General features: G+C 52.1%; 1 protein-coding gene and 1 non-coding gene across 4 annotated transcripts in view, besides 3 other annotated features; both read right to left on the bottom strand.

Moving 5' to 3' along the window:
- Positions 1–26,802, bottom strand: part of FBLN2 (fibulin 2) — an 89,280-nt gene that overhangs the window by 9,649 nt on the left and 52,829 nt on the right. For 2 of the 3 annotated variants that reach the window (NM_001004019.2, NM_001165035.2), the window contains exons 3-11: positions 20,583–20,694; positions 19,114–19,243; positions 14,592–14,772; positions 10,471–10,680; positions 9,739–9,852; positions 8,925–9,026; positions 6,841–6,981; positions 2,177–2,311; positions 787–924 (exon numbers count right to left, since the gene is read on the bottom strand). In NM_001004019.2, coding sequence (NP_001004019.1) covers positions 787–924; positions 2,177–2,311; positions 6,841–6,981; positions 8,925–9,026; positions 9,739–9,852; positions 10,471–10,680; positions 14,592–14,772; positions 19,114–19,243; positions 20,583–20,694 — 1,263 coding nt within the window. The remainder of the gene's footprint in view (positions 1–786; positions 925–2,176; positions 2,312–6,840; positions 6,982–8,924; positions 9,027–9,738; positions 9,853–10,470; positions 10,681–14,591; positions 14,773–19,113; positions 19,244–20,582; positions 20,695–26,802) is intronic. The other variant, NM_001998.3, reaches the window with a different exon arrangement.
- Positions 5,621–6,195: an enhancer, noted in NCBI's record as "H3K4me1 hESC enhancer chr3:13664061-13664635 (GRCh37/hg19 assembly coordinates)". NCBI's record gives its function as "activates a minimal SCP1, AML or CMV promoter by ChIP-STARR-seq in naive and primed H9 embryonic stem cells {active_cell/tissue: H9 hESC(naive and primed)}" and the evidence as "EXISTENCE:reporter gene assay evidence [ECO:0000049][PMID:30033119]".
- Positions 6,196–6,769: an enhancer, noted in NCBI's record as "H3K4me1 hESC enhancer chr3:13663487-13664060 (GRCh37/hg19 assembly coordinates)". NCBI's record gives its function as "activates a minimal SCP1, AML or CMV promoter by ChIP-STARR-seq in naive H9 embryonic stem cells {active_cell/tissue: H9 hESC(naive)}" and the evidence as "EXISTENCE:reporter gene assay evidence [ECO:0000049][PMID:30033119]".
- Positions 10,208–10,375, bottom strand: SNORA93 (small nucleolar RNA, H/ACA box 93). The gene has a single exon (NR_132775.1). It is a non-coding gene; the product is annotated as a small nucleolar RNA, H/ACA box 93 (small nucleolar RNA).
- Positions 14,693–14,987: an enhancer, noted in NCBI's record as "tiled region #12774; K562 Activating DNase matched - State 8:EnhW". NCBI's record gives its function as "activates a minimal TATA promoter and a strong SV40 promoter by Sharpr-MPRA in K562 cells {active_cell/tissue: K562}" and the evidence as "EXISTENCE:reporter gene assay evidence [ECO:0000049][PMID:27701403]".

The following is a 26,802-nucleotide window of genomic DNA, read 5'->3' as shown; positions in this document are numbered from 1 at the left end:
CCCACTACCCAAGGGATACACCTCCCAGAACCCAAGCACCTGATGGCTGGCCCTACGCCCTCTCACATCTGCCCAACAGAGCAGCTGGAGGCAGGGCGGGATCGAGGCTGAGTGCTAGGATAACTACACCAACCACGTGCCAGGGGTCTAGCTGCCAGGGAAGCACAGCACATTAACAAGAAGTTTTAGAGGCACAGAGACTAAGCAAACCCTTTTTTGGAAGGAGTTGATGGGGGGCGCAGAGCGGGTAGAATCTCAGACCCACTTGGGGACTAGGCCGGCATCTGTAAAACTGTTAAGTCTCAACCCTCGAGTACGGCATGGAATCACTCTAGGAGGTCTCACTAGCATTCTCTGAAAATGGGAAATTTCAGTGGGTGTCACATGCAGTACTGTGTGGGGACACTGGTATTGCAGTTCTTCCTGGATGTGTGTAGATGTCTGTGCCAGGTCATGATCTATCACATAGCCACTGCTGACTGGTTAAAAAAAAGGGATACTCATTCGTATCCAGTCCAACCCCACAGATAGCTTCACAGAGGCCACTGAATAATAACTCAGCCAAGGTTTCACAGCTCAAGGTAATAGGAGCAGCTACACTTTGGGGACAGTGGTGCCCCCAGGGTTGAACACTTGACATGCCCATTCACAGGTAGGGACAAGGGGGCTGGGAGAGGAATGGAGCAGCAAGCCAGGCCTCCCTGGTCTCTAAAGCCCTAAAAGCCCCCACAATGCCTCCAGTAGAGCCCTAGGCTGATGATCCCCAGCCCTGCAGCCCCCGCTCACCCACACAGTTGCCTTCAGGATCCTGCAGGAAGCCATCCATGCAGCGCTGCCTGGCCTGGCAGTAGAAGGAGCCCTTGGTGTTCTGGCACAAGAAGCCCGGCTGGCAGGTGTGCGTGCCCATCGCACACTCATCCACGTCTGCAGCGGAGAGGCTGGGTGTCAAGGGCTGGGGGGCAGGTCCTGCCTTTACACTCAGCAGCCCTGCCCACACATCCCCGCCCTCAGACCCATGACCCTGATGGCCACAAAGATCTCCCTGGGAAGCTGGCACAGCCACATTGTTGCCGGCATGGCCTTTGTCCCAGGAGTAATAACAACGTGACCATGTTTACTGCGCTTCTCTTTGGTCCCACCATTGTTCTGAGCACCTGAGATGGATTTATTTCCTTAAACCCCACACAGCCGTAAGAAGTAGATGTCATGACAAGCCCCATCTTACAAGGAGGGAAGCTGAGGCAGAGACAAGGCTCTACTGCTGGGGAGCACTGGACCAGGACCAGAACCCGGGGGACTGGCTCCCAAGCCTGCTTTGTTAGCCGCTGTCCCACACTTGCAGGGGGCGGAAGTGGGGATATCCCCACCGTGTGCCTAAATCTCTAAGGTAAGGTCATGTGTTCACACTTTAGGGAGGTAGCACAGGTAGCAAGAAGGCTCCAACCCCGGAGACTGTCTTTCTGTTTCTGGAACATGCCAAGAGTGCTTCCTCCCCACACCCAACAGGCCTTGGCACGCTGCCCCCTCTGCCTGAACACCCTCCCCAGGAGCTTCTCATTCAGGTCTCAACTCCAACGTCACCTCCTCCAGGGGCCTCCTTGAACCCACCACTTACAGGGGCCCCCAGCCCCCAGTCACTCTGCCATCTCTGTTTGCCTGTGTGGACCCCGCTGCCCCAACCACAAGGTCAGAGAAGGGCCACAGCACCCCACCCTGGATCCCTGGTACCCAGGACCCGGCAGGCACATAAGAGCAGCTCAGGACGTACTTGTTGAAAGGGTTGGATGAAACCCCTCCCTCTGATTAGAAGGCTAGAATTTTCCAGTAAAAGGGACAGAGTGAACCCTCTGTGGGCTCCACCTCAATGTACAAACCAGGCCACAGCAAGGGGGATAACTGGCACCCAGACACCAGCAGGCAGGAGCAAAGCCGGGGTGGACCTAGCCTGCCCTCACCCTGCCTCAGACTCCCATCTCCGCCCCAAACACCACCATTGTGGGGTCTTCCCACCAGCAGGAAACCCAACTAAGGGGAGCTTGCTAGAAAGGAGGGGATGGAGAGGGGCGTGGCCAGGCCTAAGGGTGGCCAGGGCAGGACAGGGGTGGGACCAGGGAGGGGCGGGGCAAAACTGGCCATGGGGCGGGGCCTCCAGTTGGTCCTTCTGGGCCCTTCTCACCTTCGCACTCGCCATCCTTGAGGGCATAGCCTGGCTCACAGGTGAGTGCCTTGTAGCAGTGGAAGGAGCCCAGTGTGTTCACACAGTGCTCGCCCCGGCTGCACGTGTGCAGGTCCGTCACACACTCGTTGATGTCTGCAGGGAGAGCGAGGCCATCAGAGGCTGCAGAGTCCCCAGGACAGTGGCTGAGTGCAGCCAGCAGACCTTGGGCCACCAGGAGGGAGAGAGCTCCAGGCCCTGCCCTCAGGGAGCTCACCATTCGGAGATGTGGCTGATGTCTCGGCACCCAAACATCCCTTCATTCAACAAAGATTTATTGAGCACCTGCTATGCACCAAGCACTGTTCTTGGCACTGGGTGTACATCAGTGACCAAGACAGAAATCCCTGCCCTTGTGGGGCAGACACTCAAGGGGAGAGGACACAATAAATACATAAACAAACATAAATGGAGGTGGTGATGAGTGCTATGGATAAAACAGAGCAGGACGCAGGAGACAGGGAGTGCCCAGGTACAGCGGGGGGCGCTGGGCGGGATGGGTCAGGGATGGATTCTCAGAAAAGAAGACATCTGAGCAAAGATGTGACAAGATGACAGACTGGGCCATGCAGACAGTCCAGGCAGAGGCGTCAGGGATGTAAAGGCCCTGAGAAGGAAGCCAGCTGTGCAGGTTCAAGGGCCCACCAGGAGGTGGGTGTGCTGCAGGGGAGGGAAGGGAGAAAGAGGGTGAGCAGGAGGAATGGAGGGAGCCATAGAGAGTTCCAAGCAGAAGAGAAAGTGGTCTTATTTATTTGGAGCAAGGATCCCTGGCAGGGGCTGGAGAATAGGGGTGAGGATCCAGGCAGGAGATTCAGTGGCTCGGACTACCTTCAATGGGCTGGGAGAAGTGGCTAGATTCTGAAGTATTGTGAAGCTGGAACCAACAAAACCCACTGATGGATGAGATGAAGGTGAGGCAGGAAGAGGGGCCCAGAGCTTCTGGCCAAGCAGCTGGACAGGTGGCAGTGAGGGCCGGCTGTGAGGTGTAGGCTGCAGGGGAAGGTGGGAGCCCTGCTGGCCATGAGAGTTTGAGGGTGAAGAGGCAGCTGAGGACATGCCTTGGAGTTCACACAAGGGGTCTGAGTGGGAATACTAACTTGAGAATGGTCAGATGGCTGAGGCCACCCAGGGGAGAGATCACACGGAGAGGAGGCCAAGGACCAGCTCCTGGGAGATTCCAGGGATAAGCAGTTGGGGAGAGGAGAAGCCAGTGAAGGAGAGAGAGGACGCATAAGGGAGGTGGGGAGCCACAGAGGCTCAGAAACTGTCCCCGGGCCACAGAGGCCACCAACTCAGAAACCACCCCCAGGCCACAGAGGCCACCAACTCAGAAACCACCCCCGGGCCACAGAGGCCACCAACTCAGAAACTGCCCCAGGGCCACAGAGGCCACCAACTCAGAAACCACCCCCGGGCCACAGAGGCCACCAACTCAGAAACCACCCCAGGCCACAGAGGCCACCAACTCAGAAACTGCCCCGGGGCCACAGAGGCCACCAACTCAGAAACTGCCCTGGGGCCACAGAGGCCACCAACTCAGAAACCACCCCCGGGCCACAGTGGCCACAGAAGCCACCAACTCAGGAACTGCCCAGGGGCCACAGAGGCCACCAACTCAGAAACCGCCCCAAGGCCAGCGCTAAGCCAGTGTGGAAGGCTGACCCATCTACCCCCTCCTGGTGCTGCACCTTGTGGCGGCGGTCAGGTGCACTAGTCCCCTGCTTATCCATCCATTCCACACACATAACTCTGTGCTAGGCTCCTGTGACCAAGTGGGTGTGTCGGCCCCAGCCCCGGCCCTCAAGGACAGGCAGGTGGAGGCTTGGGGGCTCTGGCCAGAGAACTGCCTGCTGTGGTCTGGACCATCAGAGCCACTTCTCAGGAGTGGTGACATTCGAGCTGAGTCTACAAGGATGACTAGAGGACCAGGTGGAGAGGTGGAGGCCAAGGCCCTGGGGAAAGAGACCCTCCCAAACTCACAGGTGAACCAAACAGTGTCCAGGCCAGGCAGACCCGGGGATGGCTGGGAATGGGGAGGAGGGAAAGGGAAAGTTCTGGGCCAGTGGTTTCCAAGGAAGGCTTGGCTGGGCAAGATAAAGATTTCTGATTTACAGGCTGGACTTACAGAGGGAGACCATTCCCAGGACCCCAGAAATGCCCATAACCCAAGAGCCTCCCACAGCCTGGAGGAATTATGGTAACAACAGCAGCACCATGAGCGGAGGCTCACCAGGGTCAGGTGGTTTAGAGGACATCGTTCTGCAAGCCCCATTTCTCAGAGGAGGAAATCAGCCTCCCGGTAGTGCTGTGACTGGACCAGAGTCACACGGACAGCCATGTGGCAGATCAAGAACGGAAGCCAGAGTGCCCGGCCCAGAGCTGTACCCTTGTACCCATCATTCAAGCACTGCTGCAGCACCACTTCATGGGGGGCTCAGAGCTGGGGGGCTGCCTCCCTCACATCTTGCAGCCTGGACCACCTGCAACACTTTTCCCTGTGCCCAAGACAGTCTTCAAAGTACAGACCACAAAAGGCAAATGGTAAACACAGGGGAGTCCTTGGCACAGGTCACACCCAATACTGTCCCACTTTGATTTACATACCTCCAGTGATGGGGAGCTTACTACCTCTGCAGGTTGCCTCAGTGAAACATTGGTTGAATCATAACAATGATGTCACAAGAGTAGCAACTTCTTTAAATGGACTAATTCATTTAATCCCCACAATGACTCTTTGAGGTAGGTGCTGTTATCTCATTCACAGATGAGGAAACTGAGGCTCAGAGAGTTTAACCAACTGGTTTAAGGTCTTATGATTAAAAATTGAAAGAGCCAGGATTTCAGCACAGGCAGGCAGGCTGGCTGCAAAGGCCACACTCTTGATCCTAGCATAAGCCTCGCATCTCACCTGCCTGGGTTAATAAACAAGTGCAGAGCAAACAAATGAACTGCAGGAGAGCCCAGTGGACATTTGTGGACGTACAAATGACGGAAAGAACGCGCGGCAGGTACTAACACGACGGGATGAACACGTGTGCGAGGGGCATGGAAGGATGAAGAGGTGCTGACGGGTTTGTACAGGATGAACAAGGAGGGAAAGAAAGAAAGGAATGCATGTGAGCTCATCAATTTTGCTGAATGGAATGTGCCCTTGCTCTTTCATTCCCAGAACCCACTTTGCAGCTGCCTGGGGATCCCTTTTAGTATGTTTTATCTCCAGGCAGCTAGACAAGCCTGCGTACTCAGGCACCGCGAGAGGGCAGGGCATCATGGGAGGGGTGCTCGTGGGCCCTGGTGGGATCCGCCTTCCCAGACGTACACACACGGACCCAACCCAGACAGGAAGAGCTGGCCGGCTGCTGGCAAGCAGGGTCAGGAGGCGCATGTTGTGCCAACGGCTAGAGGCCTAGGGCAAACATGTCTGCAGCAGGCATTCAGCCCAGCACCATGGGCCCGTGTGCCCAGTGGTGAAAGGCGAGGAAGGAAGGGGATATGTCCAGGCTGGACATGGTCCCCAAGCACAGAGAAGACAAACGGGGCTCTGGTCACATGCCCTGAACGCACTAGGTTCTGATCCTACTTCTATACCTTTATTTGAGCTGTTCCTTCTACGCTGCATGCCCTTACTGATTTCCAAATGCTAACCCGATGCCACCAGCTGGAATGACCTCGCCCTCTGCGCGTGTCTCTGTGATGGCATTTACCACCGTCTGCCCTGAGTCCCAGCTACTTTGGGTCTATCTCCGTTTGGGACCACAAACTGGAGGACACAAGGGTTTACAGTTCTCTGAAAACATCAGAGGCTGCAGACATGTACGCACAGAGCACTCCCAGAGCCACGGCGCCTGGCCCACATGGGGCCTAAGAGAGGAGAAGGAAGAGGCATCACTGAGCACCAACCCGGGCGATGTGCAGGCCAGGTGCCGGGTATGAGCCCTCACCCAGTCCTCTGGCCCCACGGTCAGAGGGGAGGAAAGGCAGGCTCAGAGAGGAGAGCTCCGCTGCTCAAGGTCACATAGCAAAGGAACGCCAAGCTGGTATGCGAGGCGGGCTCTGCTGGACCCCATCCTCCATCCACCAGCTCTGCGGGGGACCCTGGGGAAGGCACGTAGCTGTTGTAGCATGCTCACGGTGCCCAGGCTCTGTGCTACCCCACATACATGTCACACAATCGTCAAAAGAGGATCAACAGCCTCCTTACTACAGATGAGAAAACCACAGCTGGGGGAAGACGAGTCATTCATCCAAGGCCACGGAGCTTCTGGGGGTCCTGCTTGGCTAGGCCTCCTGCCTCCAGACCCCACACATCCTATCCTGCTCCCAGCATGTCTGACCCCCTCATTTTCCTGCAGCCCAGGTGGGGTCCCTGATCCACCAGGCCACACATCCAGTTCCCTGACACATAGACACGTCCCTGGGGAAAGCAGCCTCCGGGTGGAGCTGGCAGCCAAGCGGGACAAGACGCCAGGACACAAGGGCACGACATAGAGCACGGAGATGCCGGCTGTGCTGAGAGCTCACATGCAAAGGGCAGGCCCTTTGGCATGTGGCCACAGTGTGGTGGGCTTGGCGTGGAGCAGAGCGGAGAGCTGTGACGGCGGGCGGCAGGCGGGGCCCTGGCTTACCCACGCACTTCCTGTGCGCATTGAGGATATAGCCATCGGCACAGAGCACTGTGTGGTTGACACAGTAGAAGGATCCCAGGGTGTTCACACAGAACTGTCGCCGGCTACAATCGTGAGCACCCATCAGGCACTCGTCTTGGTCTAGTGGCAGCCGCAGGAGGAAAAACAGAAGGACTGTTAGAGGGACATGGGCTGCCACGGAGCATCCAGTGACAGGAGAATGAGACCCAGCAAGGGGCAGGGGCCTGTCTGGGGCCTCCCCGCCTGACTGTGTGTAGCTGGGCCTTGGGCCCAAGTGTGAGTGTGCAGAGCTGGTCCCCACTGCCCCAGTAAGGACGGTGGTGAGGTGAGACTCAGAGAGGGTGGGTGGCTGCCCACGGTCACAGTGGGGACAGGACCAGAGGCTGCCTCCCGTACGCACTCGATACTTCCCACATCCACGGGCGCCAAGAGAACCATGCCCCCGAGAGCTTGCAAAGTCCAGTACTTAGGGGACCAGGCCAGCCACATAAACCAGGGAAGGGCCCACAGGGGCTCCAGGACACTGAGTGTCTGTGCTCCATCCAAAAGGGGACAGGGGTGTGGGCCCCTTGTATGCAGATTTCACACCAAGAGAAACCTAAAATCTGGAAGTGTTTTAATCATTCTTGTGCTCAACACGTTTGGAACTCACTTGATTATTTCCAATGCAGCAGAGTTGAGCAGCGCTCCTCCGCAGAGCAGGTGCCTCTCTGAATGCCCATTGCAACCTGGACCCCAGCTTTCACTGCCAGGGCTTCCAGAGGAGGGAGGGGGTCCTGGGGATGCGCAGACATGGGCTAGGCTGCATGAGCAGCACAGGCAGAGGGGCCTCACAGGGCTGGGCCCAAAGGAGGCCTGCCCCAGAAAAGATGCAGCTCTTACATCTTCAGGGCCCTGGGAGATGGGGGGCGGGGCCCAGAGAACCCAGCACCACCTGGACCTGAGAGCTGCCCCCAGCATCGGAGAGGAAGGCCTGCCGGTCACTGCCACGTCATGTACCCTGGGCAAGTCTACTGTCCTCTCTGGGCTCGTAGGACGGTGTTTGTCCACATCAGAACAGTCTCGGCTGGGGATGGACACGGGCTTTCAGCTTCTGGGAGGGATGTGGGTATTCACCCAGGCAGACTTGACTCTGTTCTCCCCCAGACACCCACCAGGGTCTCATCTCTGAGCCAGAACTGCCATACTTCCTAGACTCTGCATACTCCATTTCTGTCCTGCCCCCAGGCAGGAGGTAGAGTCTTGAGACCTCTCAGCTTGGTTCTTCAGAAGCCATTCACTGTGGGAACCAACCCAGCAGGTGCTGGATCCAATGGCCTCATTTTACAGTGGGGGGTCCTGGCCCACAGAGGCCCCACAAAGACAAGACCCAGACCTAGGCGGGGCCACGGGGGTGGAAGGTATGTGATCCTTGGACAGCTAATCATCACCAGTGTCCTTCATTTGGGAACAGATTCAGCCAGGCATTCCTGCTGTCCAGCCTCCCTCCCACTCCCCATCGGGGACACTTCTGGCTGCCCTTAAAACAACCGGCATTGCTTCCCCTTCCCCCTCTCCACCCAGGCCTGGACATGGCTGCACAGACCAGGGCAACCCTCAAGGGCAAGGTGAGTGGAGGTGGTGTCCGCGGACCAGCAGCATCCGTATCACCTTGTTAGAAGCACAAATTCTCAGGCCCACCCACCCAGACCTATTGACTCGATCTTTGGGGATTCGGCAGAATCTCAGGACTGCCTGTTTGACCCAGGCCTCCAGGGACTCAGGTGCACACTCGGCAGGAGAAGCACTGCTCCGGGAAATGCGGAGCGACACCATGTGAGGAGCCCGGGCCCCATTCCTATGCAGCCACACTGCAGGCCCACCCTGGAGTGCATGTATACACCGCACGTACGGTGAGAGGGAGTGACTGTTTAACCTGCTCCACTAGGGGTGCTCATCATAGCAGCCAAGACTCTTCCTGCACAAACTCAGCAAGTTTTAAGTCTCAGCCACCCCCACCTGGAGGCCCCCATCACAGGCCAACTCAGGTTTGCACAGGTAGGAGGGCACCCCAAGGCACTCACCTTCACAGGACACGCCATCCGCCATGATGGCATAGCCGGGAAAACAGGAGCATATGGCTGAGCCCCCAACAGTGCTGCACACCTGCTTGCAGGGTCCATTGTCTGGAGGAAACCACACAGAAATCAGAGACCACCAGGCCCTGGCCTTGGTCCACACTGGCTCATTCCCCATCCCTGGCTCTAACCTACTAGTGAGACACAGAAACAAGGCCCCTAGAAGGCAGGGATGCTGGGAGACAAGGAACGCCACTCCTGGTCCTTTTCACAGGTTCATCCATTAAGTCTGCTCCAACACCGTCTGGCGTCGGGGACGACGTTCTGGGTCTACCTCCCCCACCACTCGGATCCCAGCCCATGCCTTGCGTGACAGCAAGAACAATGGGGAGATGGAGGAGAAGAGAGAAGGAAGAAGAGAAAGGGAAGGGGGCAGGGAAAAAAGCAGGGGAAGGGAATGAGGAGAAGAACAACAAAGAAGAGGACTTTCTACACAGCGCTGAACACAGCCTCCACAACAGGTCGGCAAACCAGGATTTGACTACCTCAACGTTACAAGAATGGAGACAAAAAGCAGCTAACTGGCTGGTTTGGGGTCACACACCAGGCCCTAGGCTGTCCCCACACCACATCTCCCCAGTGACTTCCTCAGCTCCTCACTCAGCCCAGGGTAAGCCCATCATCCCCAAAACAGAAGCACACCCTTTGGAGGGGCCATCTTGCACATACCCAGCACCAGACAGCTCACCACCTGCAAGCAGCCCAGACCCACCCCCTGGACCCTGGGCCCTGTCCTGGAGACACCACCCACACTGCTTACCTTTGCAGGTATTGGGCTGCGGCAGTGGCAGCGGGATGGTGTTAGAGGCCACCTGGGAAAATTCTGACTTCAGTGCAGGCTCCTGTGGGGCTTCCGGCTGTGGAGGGTGACCCTCTGTCATGGGTAGAGCAGAGTGGGGGTTGCAGGGAGGTCTCAGGTCTTCAGCCAGGCCTCAGGCACTTCCAGGCACCTGCCCTTCTCACACAGGGCACTGACATTTAATCCCCCACCCCATTTCACAGGAGAGGAAAATGAGGTTTGGAGTGTGCATATACCTTGGGAAAGATCAATCTCAGCTACTGGGGGCAGAGGGGGTAGAAGGAAAGGAGGCAAGGAAGAAGAGAGGGGGGAAAGGAAAAAGAGTGTCTGGATTAAAAACCAATCAATTCTGGGACCAGTGACTGGGAGGAAATCCCTCAGGATCACCATGGGCCCAGCACTGGGGAGATAGCTGGGTTTTGGTGAGAGCCTCTGTGGCCTGAGCCTGTCCCTGCGCTCGAATATGGGACAAGGTGCTGGGGCCAGGTCCCTGCAGATGGAGCCCCAGGAAGAAAGCTTCTATTTTTCCTGCCTCACAAATCCCCCATCACTGGAAGCTTCAGGCTTCTGTGGGTTCCAACTTGTGGGGTAACAGGAAGTGAAGGACCCCACAGTGTGCACCCCAGGAATGCCACACCCCCTGGCAAGATCAGCCCTTCCCATAGCCCCTGCCCTGGCCATCAGGGCCCTTACCTGGGCGGCAAGTGCGGCCATCGTCCTGCAGTGAGAAGCCAGGAAAGCAGGCACAGTGGTAAGAACCCACAGTATTGATGCAAAGGTGCTGGCACAGCTCTCCCGGGAGGAGAAGGCACTCATCCTGGTCATCGCCCGGCAGGCTGTTCGGCAGCTCGGCCTCTGTGCCCAGTGACAGGGCCTCTCGGCCCGCCATCTCTGCCTCTGAAACTAGGACAGGGGTTAGAGCTCAAGACAGAGCCAGCTTGGTCAGAGTAGGTGGCTGAGACAACCAGCTTTGGGAAACTAGTGCAGGTCCTCATCAAGACCTCTGTGTGCCCAGCAGACAGCAAGGATGGATGAAGCAGGATGGATGGATGGGTGGGTGGGTGGATGGGTGGATAGATGGATGGATAGATGGGTGGGTGGGCAGGTAAATAGATAGACGGATGGGTATAGATGGATGGGTAGATGGATGGGTGGATGGATGGGTGAGTGAGTGGATGGGTGGGTGGATGGGTAGATGGATGGGTGGGTGGATGGGTAGGTGAATGAATGGGTGGGGGGGTGGGGGGGGTGGATGAATGGATGGATGGATGGATGGATGGATGGATGGATGGTTAGATGGATGGGTGGGTGGATGGGTGGGTAGATGGGTGGGTGAATGAATGGGTGGGTGGATGGGTGGATGGATGGATGGATGGATGGATGGATGGATGGATGGATGGGTGGATGGGTTGTAACTGGATGGGTGGATGAATGAAGGAGGATGGATGGGTAGATGGAAGGATGGGTGGATAGATGGATACATGGGTAGACGGATGAATGAGTATTTGGCTGAATGGATGGATGGGTGGGTGGATGGATAGATGGATGGGTAGATGAATGGATGAGTAGATGGATAGATGGATGGGTGAGTGGGTGGATGGGTGGATGAGTGAATGGAAGGATGGGTAGGTGGATGGATACGTGAATGGATGGATGAATGGGTGTGGGGCTGAATGGATGGATGAATGGGTAGATGAAAGAGTGGATGAGTGGATGGGTAGATGGATGGGTGGACAGACAGATGAACAGACGGATGGATGGACTGGTAGGTAGGTAGATGGATGGATGGATGGATGGATAGATGGATGGATGGATGGATGGATGGATGGATGGATTGATGAATGGATGGGCAAATGAATGAACAGACCTCAAGCAGTAAGAATGAACCCATCAGAGCCAGGTCCAAGTCTTCATCACTGAGTCCTCTACAATAGGACAGGGTCAGATCCACAAAGAAGCTCTCACTAAAGTGTTACAATGGATTCAGACCCCTGACCTCAGTGACATCAAGGAGGATCATCCTTAGCAGCAGAAAGGGCTCCAAATCTGGGCTCTATTGGATCAGATGTGACCACTGACCTGGGCCTTCCCTAGCTGGGTCAACTTGGGCAGCACTAGGCCTCTCTGTGCCTCCAGATTCTGGAATAAACCCATCTCCCAGGGTTGTGCTGGGGAGCAGGTGAGAGTGGAAAAGAAGGCTCCTGAGGCTGAGCTGCCTTGGGAAGCTCTTTGTATGACAACTGTGGGGAAAGCATGCAGCCAGGACTTCAGGGGGAGGCCTACAGCCCCTCTAAGCTCTGTGCCAGCCCAGGGCCTCCTTCCCACCCCACCCAGGCAGCAGAGCCCACAGAGAGAGTAGCTGCATGAAGTCACGTATGAGGAACGTGTTTCATATGGAGGGTGTTTACATTAAGCTGCAGCCCAATCAGTCCCAGCCGGTGCCTCCAGGCAGGGCCATGATGGCTGGCGGTCTGGTCCCGCAGAGACTCAGCACTGCAGGCAGGCGGCGGACAGACCTGGACCCAGGGCTCCTCCTAGCACACCACAGGCTAGACAGTACCTCCAGGATTCAGGCTCAGCTCACCCTCACCAGCATCTTCCTCACAGGAGGAAGCATGGATCTCTGGCCAGGATCGTGCCTGGCTCTGTTGCCCACCTACTCCCTTCCACCCACCTGCCTTTGACTTTTGAAGCCGGACTTCCTCCCAAACTCTACCTTCAGCCAGACTCTTCTGGGTACTAACCTGGCCTTCACACCAGTACTCAACCATTCCCCTTAGAGCCAATCTCAGCAAGTAGCACTTCCTTGGACTGGACTTACTCTCTGTACCCACATTGGATTGGCAAGGGTGGTTGGTACATCTGTTCTGGTTGATCTGCCCAGGTCTGGCCTGGTCCAACCCCCACACACTCACCCCTGCCTCTGCCTCACCCTGATGGGAGATCCAGGTATCTGTTCTCCCACCTGTACCACACAGGATATGAGCTCTTCCTGTAGGATCTCCTGAGCCCTGGCACCTGTGGACAGCAGGCATCTTAACCCCTATGCACAGACTTCTGCCATCTTGCATTATAGTGACAGAGATCTGGGTCAATCGGAACCAAGGCTGACTGGGTCTAGATAAAACTCAGGGCATCAGGAAGGCTGGGGCAGAAGTGGGAGTCATTAGAGCCAAGGTGTCCAGTCCTGGCTGTGCCAAAGACCCGGCATGTGCCTGGGGCAAGATCCTGCCCTTCTCTGGGCCTCATCTTCCCCCTCTGAGCTGCTGAAGCACGGCAACGGTAACAGCAACAGTGGTGGCAATGCTGAATGCATCACTAGGCACTGCCAAAAGCCCTTGACAGGCATCCTATCATTCATCCTTGCACTGAACAAGGTAAAGAATACAAGACCATTTGACAGATGCCACAGTGAAGGCTCTGAGAAGGAGCCTTCCTTCTGTGTGACCTGCCCCAGGTAAGCAAAGGAACTAGGATTCCAACCAAGTCTGCCTGACTCCAGAGGCCAAGAGTTTAATCTTGATACCAGGACCTCATCTGTGGCTTTAATTCCCACTCCATGAAGTGCCCAGGACAAATCCACAGGGGCCCCAGATGACGGTCCATAGGAACAGCGAAAAAACTGGGCTGGTGGTTCTGGAACCTACCTGGACATCTGGTCCCCAACCAGTTGAGGCTGAACATGTGGACACCAACAAAGCAGGCCTGCCAGGACTCTCACGGCACCAGCCCCAGGGCCACCAAGGCCCATGTACAAAAAGGACATCTGCTGACTCACTGGGGCACCCTCATCAGGCTCCTGCAGACCCACCAGGCACAGAGGAGGCTAATGGTCATGGGTCCAGGAGACAGCCCTGGCTAGGGGACAGGGACTGGACATGGCAGCTGGAACAGTGGCTACAGCACAAGAAGGGAAGAAGAAGGGGGTGACACCAAGGACAACGAGGATGGATGCATGGATGGATGGATGGATGGATGGATGGATGGATGGATGGATGGATGGATAAGCAGATGGATGAACAGACGGATGGGTGGGTGGATGGATGGATGGATGGATGGATGGATGGATGGATGGATAGATGAATAGATGATCAGACAGATGGATAGATGGACAGATGGACAGATGAATGAATGAATGGATGGGTAGGTAGATGGATAAATGGATGGATGGATGAGGGATGGATGGATGGATGGATAAACAAACGGATGGATGAGTGGATAGTGGATAGGTAGATAGATACATGGATGAATGAATGGATGGATAGATGGATGGGTGGGTGAGTGAATGGGTGGATGGGTGGGTAGGTGGATGGATGGATGGATGGATGGATGGATGGATGGATAATTGGGTGGGTAGGTGGGTGGATGGGTGGATGGATGGATGGATGGATGGATGGATGGACAGATGATGGGATAGAGGATGAATGAGGGAGTGAATGAATGAATGGATGGAGAGATGGACAAGAGGATGGGAGGATGGGTGGGAGACAAGTGCAATGGATGGAAAAAGAGCAAACTGATAAGTGGGTAGGGAGGAAGATGTATAGACAAAGTAGACAGGGAGGAAGATGTATAGACAAAGAGAGGGGAGGGTGGTGAGTGGACAGTGAAAGGGTGATGGGTGGTAGTTGGTGGTTAAGTTGGTGGAGTGGGTAGTCCACAGAAAACAATGAAATCACCATCCTCAGAACTCTGTTTAGAGCAGAACTTGTGTCTCAAGCCACAGGTGATGATGGACCCAGGGTCCCCACAGAAGGCCAGAGGTCAACCAGCCTTCGCCCTATATGCCGCAGCCAGGGAAGAGCAGCACTCACCTCTCCGTGGTGCAGCTGCGGGCTCTGGAGGTCGGCGAACCTCAGGTACTATGAGAGGCTCTTCACCCTCACAGCAGGAGAGCATGACATGATTGCAGGGATAGCCCAGGTTAGGATTGGACTCACACGACTGGCCCTCGGCCCGCACGCGGAGGCCCAGGCCACAGCAGTCACAGCATTGCTGCAGGGAGAGACAGTTATCACTGCCCAATCTCTGGCCCCAGCCTGGAGCTAGGCTCAGGGGAGGGACTGATAAATGGAGATGAATTCACCATTATCTTATCTCCTCTGCCAGACTATGCGCTCTCCCAGGGCAGAGGGGTCCTCTGCCTCTATTTCCCAAGTCTGGCACAGGTAGGACTAATGTAAGTCTTTTGAAACAGATAACAAGTAAATGGCCTTTAGTTGAAGGAACTATAACCCCCCAGCCACACTCATTATCCCCTCATGTTTACTAGCAAACCCCAATTCTATTCAAGTCAGTTAAAAGATGGCATTTCCCAGGGGCCTTTGCAGTTAGATTCACTCAGCGGAGCCTTCAGGAGGGCTTTAAACTGGGGATGACTCTACTTGAATCAAGTACATCGTTTTTGCTCCCCCTCTTTCTCCTTCTTGGAGCACATATGTGATGGCTGGAGCTTTAGCAGCCAACTTGGGCCATGAAGTGACCCTGAAGATGGAAGCTACAAGTTAAAGATAATTAAACATAAAAATAGAAGACTAGGTTCCTAAAGATGTAGATCTACGCTAGCCCAGGCTGCTTTTCTTCAAAAATAAATTGGTTTTATTTATTTTAAAATACAGTAGTATTTTGGTTGCAATAACGGCAACAATTATTCAATCTTTTCTGTGTTCACTGTCTTTGCAATGTGATATTGCAGCTGCTTCTATTAAGAGAAAGTGTGTATTTCCCAACCTCTTGGTTGTGCCTTCTGTCTTGCTTTGGCCAATAGAATGAGATACACATGATGGTGTGCCAGTTCTTAGCCTAGGCCTCAAAAGACCTTGAATGCTTCTATTTATTTTCTTGGAACTCTGCACATCATAACTGAACAGGCCCATGCTAGCCTGCTGGGGGTTGAGACACTGCAGGGAGCAGAAACAAGTCATCCCAGCCAAGGCCATCCTAGGTCATCTAGCTCCAGTGGAGCCGTCAGCTGACAGCAGCCACATAAGCAAGCACTCACCCCCGCCCCCAGGATCAGCTGAGCGTGGCTCAGGTCAGCAGAAGTACTCAGCTGACCACAAATTCATGCATTAAGCCAGCAACAGGCCACTAGGTTTTGGATGGTATGTTACCCAGCAACAGCTAACTGATACTCTATTCTTGCATCTCTCAGTGTTGAACACTTCCCACTAATGAAGGCCCATCACATACTTAACACTTAGTTTGCATTATCTCTGATCCCCACAACCACCCAAAAAGACATGGATTATTATCCTCATTTTATAGATAGAAAAGCTGAGGCTAAGAAAAGAGAACTGGCCGGGCATGGTGGCTCATGCCTGTAATCCCAGCACTTTGGGAGGCCGAGGTGGGTGGATCACGAGGTCAGGAGATCGAGACCATCCTGGCTAAAACAGTGAAACCCCGTCTCTACTAAAAATACAAAAAAATCAGCCGGGCGTGGTGGCGGGCACCTGTAGTCCCACCTACTCGGGAGGCTGAGGCAGGAGAATGGCATGAACCTGGGAGGCGGAGCTTGCAGTGAGCTGAGATGGCATCACTGCACTCCAGCCTGGGTGACAGAGCGAGACTCCGTCAAGAAAGAAAGACAGACAGACAGACAGAGAGACAGACAGACAGAAAGAAAAAGAAAGAAAAGAAAGAAAGAAAGAAAGAAAGAAAGAAAGAAAGAAAGAAAGAAAGGAAAATAAAAGAAAAGAAAAGGAAAATAAAAGAAAAAAGAAAAGAAAAGAGAACTAGTCCAGGGTCAAACATAAAGACAGAAAAGGGGATTCTAAACGTTTCTAGACCCTGTCAACAGGGTCCTCTCACTAATACTAGTTGTTTTAAGGAAAAAATTGACCCCAAGATGACCAAAATTGAAGTCAAAATCCTCTCCCAAATGCCAGAACCATCCAGCGGTCTCTGTCACCATCACCCAGGCTTGAGACCTTGGGCTTCTTCAATTCCCTCTCCCGCTCCTCAGTCAGGATGAGGTCCCTTCTGGAAGGTTTCCTGAAACTGTGCCACTGTCATAGTTTGCCCTCACCTCTGCTGTAGACAGCCAGCTATCCATCCCAATGTCTGTTTCCCTTTTTTCTCATGTTCACTGGGGCACCTGACCTCCCAGAATAAAGACACTACATTCCCTAGTCTTCCTTGCAGCTAGATGTAGCCAGGAGATGAAGCTCCAGCCAATGAAATCTAAGCAGAACTACAGTCTGCCCTCAAAAAAGGGAGCTCTTCTTCTGCTCATGTTCACAGCAGCATTACTATTCGCAATAGCCAAAAGGTGGAAGCAACCCAAGTGTCCATCGATGAATGGACAGATACAGAAAATGTGGTCTGTCCACACAATGGAATATTATTGCACCTCAGAAAGGAAGGAAACACTTACATTTGCTACACATGGCATGGATGAACCTTGAAGACATTATGCTAAGTGAAATAAGCCAGACACAAAAGATCAAACACTGTATAATTCCACTTACATGAGTTCCCTAGAGGAGTCAAACCCACAGAGACAGAAAGCGGAATGGTGGTTACCAGGAGCTACAGGGAGAGGGAATGGGAGTTAGTGTTTAATGGGAACAGTTTCAGCTTGAGAAGATAAGAAAGTTCCTTGGGTGCTTGGTGGTGACGGCTGCGCAACAGTGTGAATGTGCTTCATGCCACTGAGCTGTGCGCTTACAAATGGTTCAGACGATCAATTTTACATCATGTGTATTTCACCATGATCAAAACTAATTTCAGCTGGACGCAGTGGCTCATGCCTGTAATCCCAGCACTTTGGGAGGCCAAGGTGGGTAGATCATTTGAGGTCAGGAGTTCGAGACCAACCTGGCCAATGTGGTGAAACCCCATCTCTAGTAAAAATACAAAACCAAGCATGGTGGCGTATGCTCTACTAAAAACACAAAAAAATTAGCTGGGCGTAGTGGCAGGTGCCTGTAATCCCAGCTACTCGGGAGGCTGAGGCAGGAGAATTGCTTGAACCCGGGAGGTGGAGTTGCAGTGAGACGAGATCGTACCACTGCACTCCAGCCTGGGTGACAGAGACTCTGTCTCAAAATAATAATAATAATAATAATAATAATAATTTAAAACAAGGGGGCTCTCCTGCCCCTTTCTGGAGTTCATCCTGGACCAAGAGGTGGCAAATGAGAGCTGGCAGGGCAAGACCACTATGCCTGTGCCCCATTCCTGATGACCATGGAGCCTCTCACTCCTCTAACTCAGCCCTGCCTTCCTCCAGCCTGCAGCATATGAGAGAAAAACCAGTGTTCCAGGAAGTTTTCCATTACTTGTAGCCAAACTGACACCCTGTCCGCCAGTGGCCACCATGAGCTCTAGTAGACAAACTGATCTCCTGCTGCAAATCCCTCCCACGGCTTTACAGACACTGCTTGAAGCCGAAAGCTCTCAGCATTTACTGTCCTTTATGGTCCAGCCTGAGGACTCCCGGTGGCCTGTCTCTACTGCTGCCAGACCACTGGACCACACACCCCATTTCCCAACGTCCTCGCCTGTGTGTTAGTTCACACTGTTCTCTGCACCACTGTTGCCTGGTGGGGTTTTACCCCATCCCAATCCCACCTCCCATGTGAGAGAAACACCCTCAATAACCGGTCCCCACAACTGCCAGAAGAGACCCTCAAACTCCCCATGGGGTCCACCTCACCCACAGTCAAACCACAGTCCTTCCGATGATGGCCAGGAGCCCTGACATCTCTCTGGGCTCAGCTCCACCTGCCCCCTGTCACTCGATGCACTCCAGCCACACAGCCTAGACATGCCAAGCAGGCTCTGACCCCAGGGCCTTTGCATGTGCTGCACTCTGCCTGAAAGCATTTCACAGACATCCCCCACCCCGGGCATTGCACAAATGTCCCCTCCTCAGTGAGGCTGTCCCTGGCCACTGTCAGCTGATACTGCAGTCCCTCCCCAGCCCTGACACTACTTATCCCACCTCTCCTTAAGTTTTTCTCCTTAGCACAATCGCCTGCAACCACGCCAGGTGCTAAAATATTCATCGTGATCTTCCTCTGTCTTCCTGGCCAGAAAGAAATCCCTGGGAGGGCGGGAATTGCCATCTGTGTTACTCACTGCTACATCCCTGATGCCCAGGGCACACAGTGGTGCTCTACAAATATTCTGTGAATTAATTGGTCAGTATAATAACTGATGATGTTTTCTGCGCAGATTAAGAGTCCTTCCACCCCAGGCGTGAGGGTCACTCCCAGGAGGAGCCCCAAGGACAGCCTAACTTCTTGGGCCACGAGGACCTTCAGGCCCAGGCCAGCCTCCCGCCCCGCCCCACCCCACCCTGCCTTGAAGGCCACAGGTCAGGCTTGCCTTGTACAGGGAGATGCCGCAGCTGTCGTTGTCCTCAGCCCCACAGGTCTCACCCTCCTTGGCTCCCAGGACGCCGGCCATGCAGCTCTTCTCCTGCAAGTAGGAGACACAGCAGTGCCTCTGGGCTGTCCTGAAACAGAGGGGGTAACTTAGCCCCCAGTCGCCCACCTCATCCTCCCAGAGTGGAAAGTGAGTGAGGCTCAGAGGAGGGAAGCTCTGCCCAAGGTCCACAGCAAGGGAGCCGGTGCAGGTGGCAGAGCCGGCACAACCTCCACTGGGTTGCATGGGTTTCATTTCTTGGCTTAACCATGCAGATGCAGGCCTGGGTCCCACTAGACTCGGAGATGTGTGTTCATGACCTCTGAGAGAGAGGGGTTGGCATCAGAGTCCCCACCCCCACAACGGTCGGGGAGGACAGAGAGACCTAATCCCAGAAAAGGCTGGCAGGTCAGCCTGGAGGAGCACAGCCTCCGGGTCCCTGGTCACTGCCTGCCAGTCACTGTTGGGCTGCCTGGGGCAGAGGTGGCTGACAAATCAGCTGCAGAGACCAGAGCCAGGACAGGGCGGCGGGGATTACGGGGGACAGGGCTCAGCACCCCCTGAAGTGGGACACGTCCACAAGACGGATGCAAGCATGCACTAGGACCGCTTAGCCCCAAACTCCAGGGGTCCCAGTGCTGCATGCTCTAACTCCTAAGTTGCCCCATATTGGTAGAATGGCTGAAGGGAAAGACAAGGTTAGAACATAAATTTTTTTTATAGGAAGCAGAGTGGTCTGGACATTGGGAAACATGGGGTCTAATCCCAGCCATGCTGCCAGTGAGCTGTGTAGTTTTGAGTGAATCACACTGCCTCTCTGAACTTAATCTTTCTTATTTGGAAAAATGAGTAGGTTAGACGGGGTCCCTGGAAAAAAACAAAGCATGAGCAGCTGACCAAGAGCTCTCCTGGGCCTGGAAAAGGGAAGGCATGGGGATAAAGGATTGCTTTGCTGTGGTATCAGAGTCAGAAGAAACAACCAGCACAGCAGCAAGGGAGCACAGTGAGAGGCCAGCCTCCTGAAGACCCAAGGGTAGCAAAGCAGAGAAAGGAAGAGGGCAGAGGAGAGAAAGCCTGAGTGGCATGAGTGCGGCAGCAACTGCAGAATGTGGTGAGGGGAGCACCCGACTATTCCTAGGGGACAGCACTCCTTTAAAACTTGTTTCAAATTGTACATTCCTCGGATCTTGCTCACTAGGCCAGCTACCAATTTATGTGGCTGGTTTGTTCCTAGGACCAGTCTTGGACTTTCCACCCCTGGAGAAAGCCTGGCCAGATGGCGCACGGCAGCCACACCCAATCACCCTCATGCCCCAGAGGCATGTGAAGGTGCACTCTCTCCGGGCTGCCTGGAGCCTGGGGTCCTAGGCAAGCAGGGTTCTGGAGAAGGCAAATGGGCAGCTCCGCCTGCTCCAGGGAGCCCACCCTACCTGCAGACGTTGTCCTCAGTGCCACTCTCAGGGATCTCCAGGCACTCGTCATTGTCAATGGCCCACTGCTGTCCGGCTGCGCAGCAAGTCTCGATCAGGTCCTTGGTGGAGCCTGTGGATAGCAACATGAGGCAGAGTCACCATTCATAAGTCACCAAGTCCAGCAGATATGCAGGGGCCTGTCCAGGTCTCCTTTACTGGGCAGGCAAACTCATCCACCCCTGCTGCTGTGCATGCTGGTCGCTAACAGCTCACAACACAACTGTCTTTGGTGAACTGTCTGCGAGGTGGAGTCCTCCCTATGGGGGCTGGGAGGAGCCCAGCCCATAACAGGTTAACATGGGGCCAGAGCTCAGCCCCCACTCTCAAAGCAGCCAGTTCTATGGGGGCCACTCACACTCTAGAGCTCCCACAGGGTCAGACCTCACGTGGGCCACAGCTTTGTCCACCTCTCATCCCTCACTCCTCAGAGTTTCTCCTGAGAGGTCTCCCCAAATGAACCAACACATGCACAAGACCCCCCAACTCAGGCTCTGCTTCTAAGGAACCCAACCTAAGATGCTAAGACAGGGCAAGAGATACGAAAACAGCAGCAGTGGCAGCAAGGGAAGTTTAAGCTCATCCAGGAAATTCACGGAAGTTTTATGTTGAATACACACTTGACCCCTGGAACAACACAGCAGTTTCTTCCACCTCTGCAACCCCTAAGACAGCAAGACCAGCCCCTCCTCCTCCTCCCCCTCCTAAGCCTACTCAGCCTGAAGACAGTGAGGATGAAGACCTTTATGATGGTCCACTTCCACTGCATGAATAGTAAACATATTTTCTCTTACGATTTTCTTAATAACATTTTTTTTTCTCAAGCTTACTTTAAGAATACAGAATATAGGCTGGGTGCGGTGGCTCATGCCTGTTATCCCAGCACTTTGAGAGGCTGAGGCGGGCAGATCACGAGGTCAGGAGTTCAAGACCAGCCTGGCCAACAGGGTGAAACCCTGTCTCTACTAAAAATACAAAAATTAGCCAGGCACGGTGGCAGGCACCTGTAATCCCAGCTACTCAGGAGGCTGAGGCAGGAGAATTGCTCGAACCTGGGAGGCAGAGGTTGTAGTGAGCCGAGATTGTGCCACTGCACTCCAGCCTGGGTGACAGAGCAAGACTCCGTCCCGGGGAAAAAACAAACAAACAAACAACAACAAGAAAAGAATACAGAATATAGTCAGCCGGGCACGGTGGCTCATGCCTGTAATCCCAGCACTTTGGGAGGCCTAGGCAGGAGGATCACCTGAGTTCAGGAGTTTGAGACCAGCCTGACCAACATGGAGAAACTCCGTCTCTACTAAAAATACAAAAAATCAGCCAGGCATGGTGGCGCATGCCTGTAAACCCAGCTACTCGGGAGGCTGAGGCAGGAGAATCACTGGAACCTGGGAGGCGGAGGTTGTGGTGAGCTGAGATCATTCCACTGCTCTTCAGCCTGGGCAATAAGAGTGAAACTCCATCTCAAAAAAAAAATACAGTATATAATATATATAACATATAAAATATGTGTTAATTGACTATTTGTGCTATCAGTAAGGCTTCCTGTCAACAGTCAGCTATTAGTTAAGTTTTTGAGGAGTCAAAAGTTACATGTGGATTCTTGACTGTTAGTCGGGTCAGCACCCCTCACTCCTGAGTTGTTCAAGGTTCAACTGTATTTGTGACTGGGGAGGCTGGAAGGAGTCAAAGGTAGGGGAGAATGTCTTAAAACTCAAAGGCACAGGCTATAGGTTACAAAAATTAATGAATTTGATTACCTCAAAATTCCAATATGTATAACAAAGAACTCCATGTACACATATAATAGACTGCTGACATATTAAGAAATGTTTCTGGAATGTCCAAAACTGACAAGGAATTGCCATCTACAAAACATAATAAACTCCTGAAAATTAACAAGAGAAAAAAGAACTCCAAAGTAAAATACTCCTTAGGCCAGATGTGGTGGTTCACGCCTGTATCCCAGCATTTTGGGAGGCTAAGGTGGGTTCATCACTTGAGCTCAGGAGTTCGAGACCAGCCTGGACAACATGGCGAATCTCCAACTCCACAAAAAGTTAGCCTAGCTACTCGGGAAGCTGGGGTGGGAGGATGGCTTGAGCCCAGGGATGGGGAGGGGGGTTGGAGGTTGCAGTGAGCTGAGATGGAGCCACTGCACTCCAGCCTGGGTGACAGAATGAGACTCTGTCTCAAAAAATAATAATAAAATATCCATTAAACTAGAAATATGAGTAAGAGTGAGAAATGCCACACAGAGGTGGGGACCCCCTTTTCTCCCTTAGTGCTGTATTCCTCTACACTGCTGCATGTCCATGTGTCTAGGGTGGGAGAGGAGACTGCGGCCAGCTGGAGAGATGTGGCACCACTTATACAGTTAAGCACACGCAACATCAAGGACCCAGACGCTCTGCTCCTGGTGTCTGTGCCAGGGAAGTCCTCACGACAGCCCGTAACACAACCAGTACAAGGATGCCCATGTCAAGTGTTATTTGTGGAAAGGGGTTGCGGACAGCCTGGGTGTCCATCACTGGGGGGGAGGATGAGGAAAATCTGGGGCCATGCTACATGCAGGAGCTGTCAGAAACAATAGACTGGATACACACACAGCAGCATGAGCTGGACACACCAACACACAGAAGTGTGGAGGAACACAGCACTAAGGGAGAAAAGGAAGAAGCCAAATCAGTTCTACTATACAAATTTAAACTATCACACATAAAATAACAATGCATACTTTGCAAGAACACATGACAGCAAAAAACACACTGATGAGATGAAACTGTCAGCTATGCAGATGGAGGTGGTGGATGGGAATGGAGAAAGAAGATGAAAGGAAATAAAATATTAATAAATAAATAAAACAAGAGCCTTGCAAAGAGGATAATAAGAGCCATGCCAAGAAATGAGACGTGTAATTAACCCAAGCGTTTGCCCCTGAGGTCTAAAGTGACATTCCTAAGTCAAGTTTATACAGAATGCCTAGACATTCGTGCTGAGGGCAACAAGTAACAGATGAGTGCCTCTGAGCCTGATGGGCCTGGGTCCACATCTCAGCGTTACCACTGACAGCCGCTTCTCCTCCCTCCAGACTCAGTGTCCTTCTCTGTATGAGGACTGAATGGCTGTGTAGGTGCTAAGGCCCACAAAGCCCTCTAAATGTCCTGAGCAGTTCACGTAAGGGCACAGGGCTGAGGGATAGATGCCGTGAAGGACGGCACCTGCACACTCCAACCGGAGCAAGAGCTCACTGAGGGTCATCGGCTGCGTTGCCTTAGCAGGCACGGCAAGTTACCAAGCTTTCCTAAGTTTTCATTCCTTTTCTGTAAAACAGGGAAAACAGCTTCCATCACAACCTGTTACTGTTCTGCTCTGAGGCACTGAGAGGAATGAGAACTGGTGTCTACCAGAAGCACATAGCAAACATCATACTCAATGGGGGAACATTAGACACATCCCCCACTGAATTATTAAATATTACAAAAATAATGCCCACGGGCCATGCTACTATATAGCATTGTCCTGGAGATACTAGCAAATGCAGTAAAACAAGAAAAAAGGAGGCCGGCTCAGAAATAATACCACACATCTACAACCATCTGATCTTTGACAAACCTGACAAAAACAAGAAATGGGAAAACGATTCCCTATTTAATAAACGGTGCTGGGAAAACTGGCTAGCCATATGTAGAAAGCTGAAACTGGATCCCTTCCTTACACCTTACACAAAAATTAATTCAAGATGGATTAAAGACTTAAATGTTAGACCTAAAACCATAAAAACCCTAGAAGAAAACCTAGGCAATACCATTCAGGACATAGGCATGGGCAAGGACTTCATGTCTAAAACACCAAAAGCAAGGGTAACAAAAGCCAAAATTGACAAATGGGATCTAATTAAACTAAAGAGCTTCTGCACAGCAAAAGAAACTACCATCAGAGTGAACAGGGAACCTACAGAATGGGAGAAAATTTTTGCAATCTACCCATCTGACAAAGGGCTAATATCCAGAATCTACAAAGAACTTAAATTTACAAGAAAAAATCAAACAACCCCATCAAAAAGTGGGCGAAGGATATGAACAGACACTTCTCAAAAGAAGACATTTATGCAGCCAACAGACACATGAAAAAATGCTCATCATCACTGGCCATCAGAGAAATGCAAATCAAAACCACAATGAAATACCATCTCACACCAGTCAGAATGGTGATCATTAAAAAGTCAGGAAACAACAGGTGCTGGAGAGGATGTGGAGAAATAGGAACGCTTTTACACTGTTGGTGGGACTGTAAACTAGTTCAACCATTGTGGAAGACAGTATGGCGATTGCTCAGGGATCTAGAACTAGAAATACCATTTGACCCAGCCATCCCATTACTGGGTATATACCCAAAGGATTATAAATCATGCTGCTATAAAGACACATGCACACGTATATTTACTGCAGCACTATTCACAATAGCAAAGACTTGGAACCAACCCAAACGTCCATCAATGATAGACTGGATTAAGAAAATGTGGCACATATACACCAGGGACTACTATGCAGCCATAAAAAAGGATGAGTTCATGTCCTTTGTAGGGACATGGATGAAGCTGGAAACCATCATTCTGAGCAAATTATTGCAAGGACAGAAAACCAACACTGCATGTTCTCACTCATAGGTGGGAATTGAACAATGAGCACACTTGGACACAGGATGGGGAACATCACACACTGGGGCCTGTCGTGGGGTGGGGGGAGGGGGGAAGGATAGCATTAGGAGAAATACCTAATGTAAATGACAAGTTAACAGGTGCAGCACACCAACATGGCACATGTATACATATGTAACAAACCTGCACATTATGCACATGTACCCTAGAACTTAAAGTATAATTAAAAAAAAAAAAACTTAAAAAAAAAGAAAGAAAAAAGGAGGCCAGGCGTAGTGGCTCACACCTGTAATCCCAGCACTTTGAGAGGCTGAGGAATGCGGATCACGAGGTCAGGAGTTCAAGACCAGCCTAGCCAACATAATGAAACCTCGTCTCTGCTAAAAATACAAAAAAATTAGCCAGGCTTGGTGGCGCGCACCTGTAATCCCAGCTACTTGGGAGGCTGAGGGACAAAAATTGCTTGAACCCAGGAGGCGGAGGTTGCAGTGAGCCAAGATCGCACCACTGCACTCCAGCCTGGGCGACAGAGCAAGACTCGTCTTGGGGAAAAAAAAAAAGAAAGAAAGAAAGAAAAAAGGGCCAAAGAAATAATAGAAAGAAGAAACAACAGTCGTTATTGGCAGATGTTATGGTTTCATCTTCCTAGACAATCCAAGAGACTCAAAACTCACAAAGTATTAGAATTAATACAATTAACAATAATGACTATAATACAATAGCCAAAAACAAAAACAACACACTCAAATTAGTGGCTTTCCTATACCCCCATAACAATTAAATAGAAAAGTTAATAGGAAAAAATTCCCATTCAAAAGAGAAACAAACCTAGAAATAAATCTACAGTGAACATGCTTGATTCACATGAAGACGAAAATTTGATTGTCTAATGGGTATAACATACACTTTATTCAAAATACATACCATGTATCTAATATGTACCTTAAAGATGTCAATTCTCCTCTACTTACTCTACAACTTCAATGCGATTCCAACCAAAGCAAAGTGTAACTGTCACAGAATTTGTCGTGTTAATTCTAAAATTCATCCAAAAAACGAAATGCTTAAGAATACCCGAGAACATTTCTGAAAAATAAGAACAGAGAAGGTAGACTTTCTCTAACGGTATCAGAATACACTTCAAAGTTCTAATAATTAAAACAAGAAGACAAGGCGCTCAATGGAAGAGAAAAGACTTCAGAAACAGACCTATGTGCATACGGGAATTGAATATATGATGAAGGTGGCATTCAAACTTTGCAGGGAAAGAATTTATGATGCTGGGACCCACATCACACCATACACGAAAGTAACTTCCAAATCTATAAAGGCAGGATTAGAATAAAATTTACAGAGATAATTTTAGAAAAAAGAGAATCTTCTTCAGAAATAAAATCCATAGCCTGTAATCCCAGAACTCTGGGAGGCTGAAGCAGGAGGATCACTTGAGGCCAGTAGTTTGAGACCAGCCTGAGAAACATAGTGTGACTGTCTCTTAAAAAGAAAAAATTTAACCAGGCA

This window comes from Homo sapiens, chromosome 3, assembly GCF_000001405.40.
Source record: "Homo sapiens chromosome 3, GRCh38.p14 Primary Assembly".
NCBI classification, from domain to species: Eukaryota; Metazoa; Chordata; class Mammalia; order Primates; family Hominidae; genus Homo; species Homo sapiens.
The sequence above is the reverse complement of the archived record's forward strand: the minus strand, read 5'-3'. Positions and strand labels throughout refer to the sequence as shown.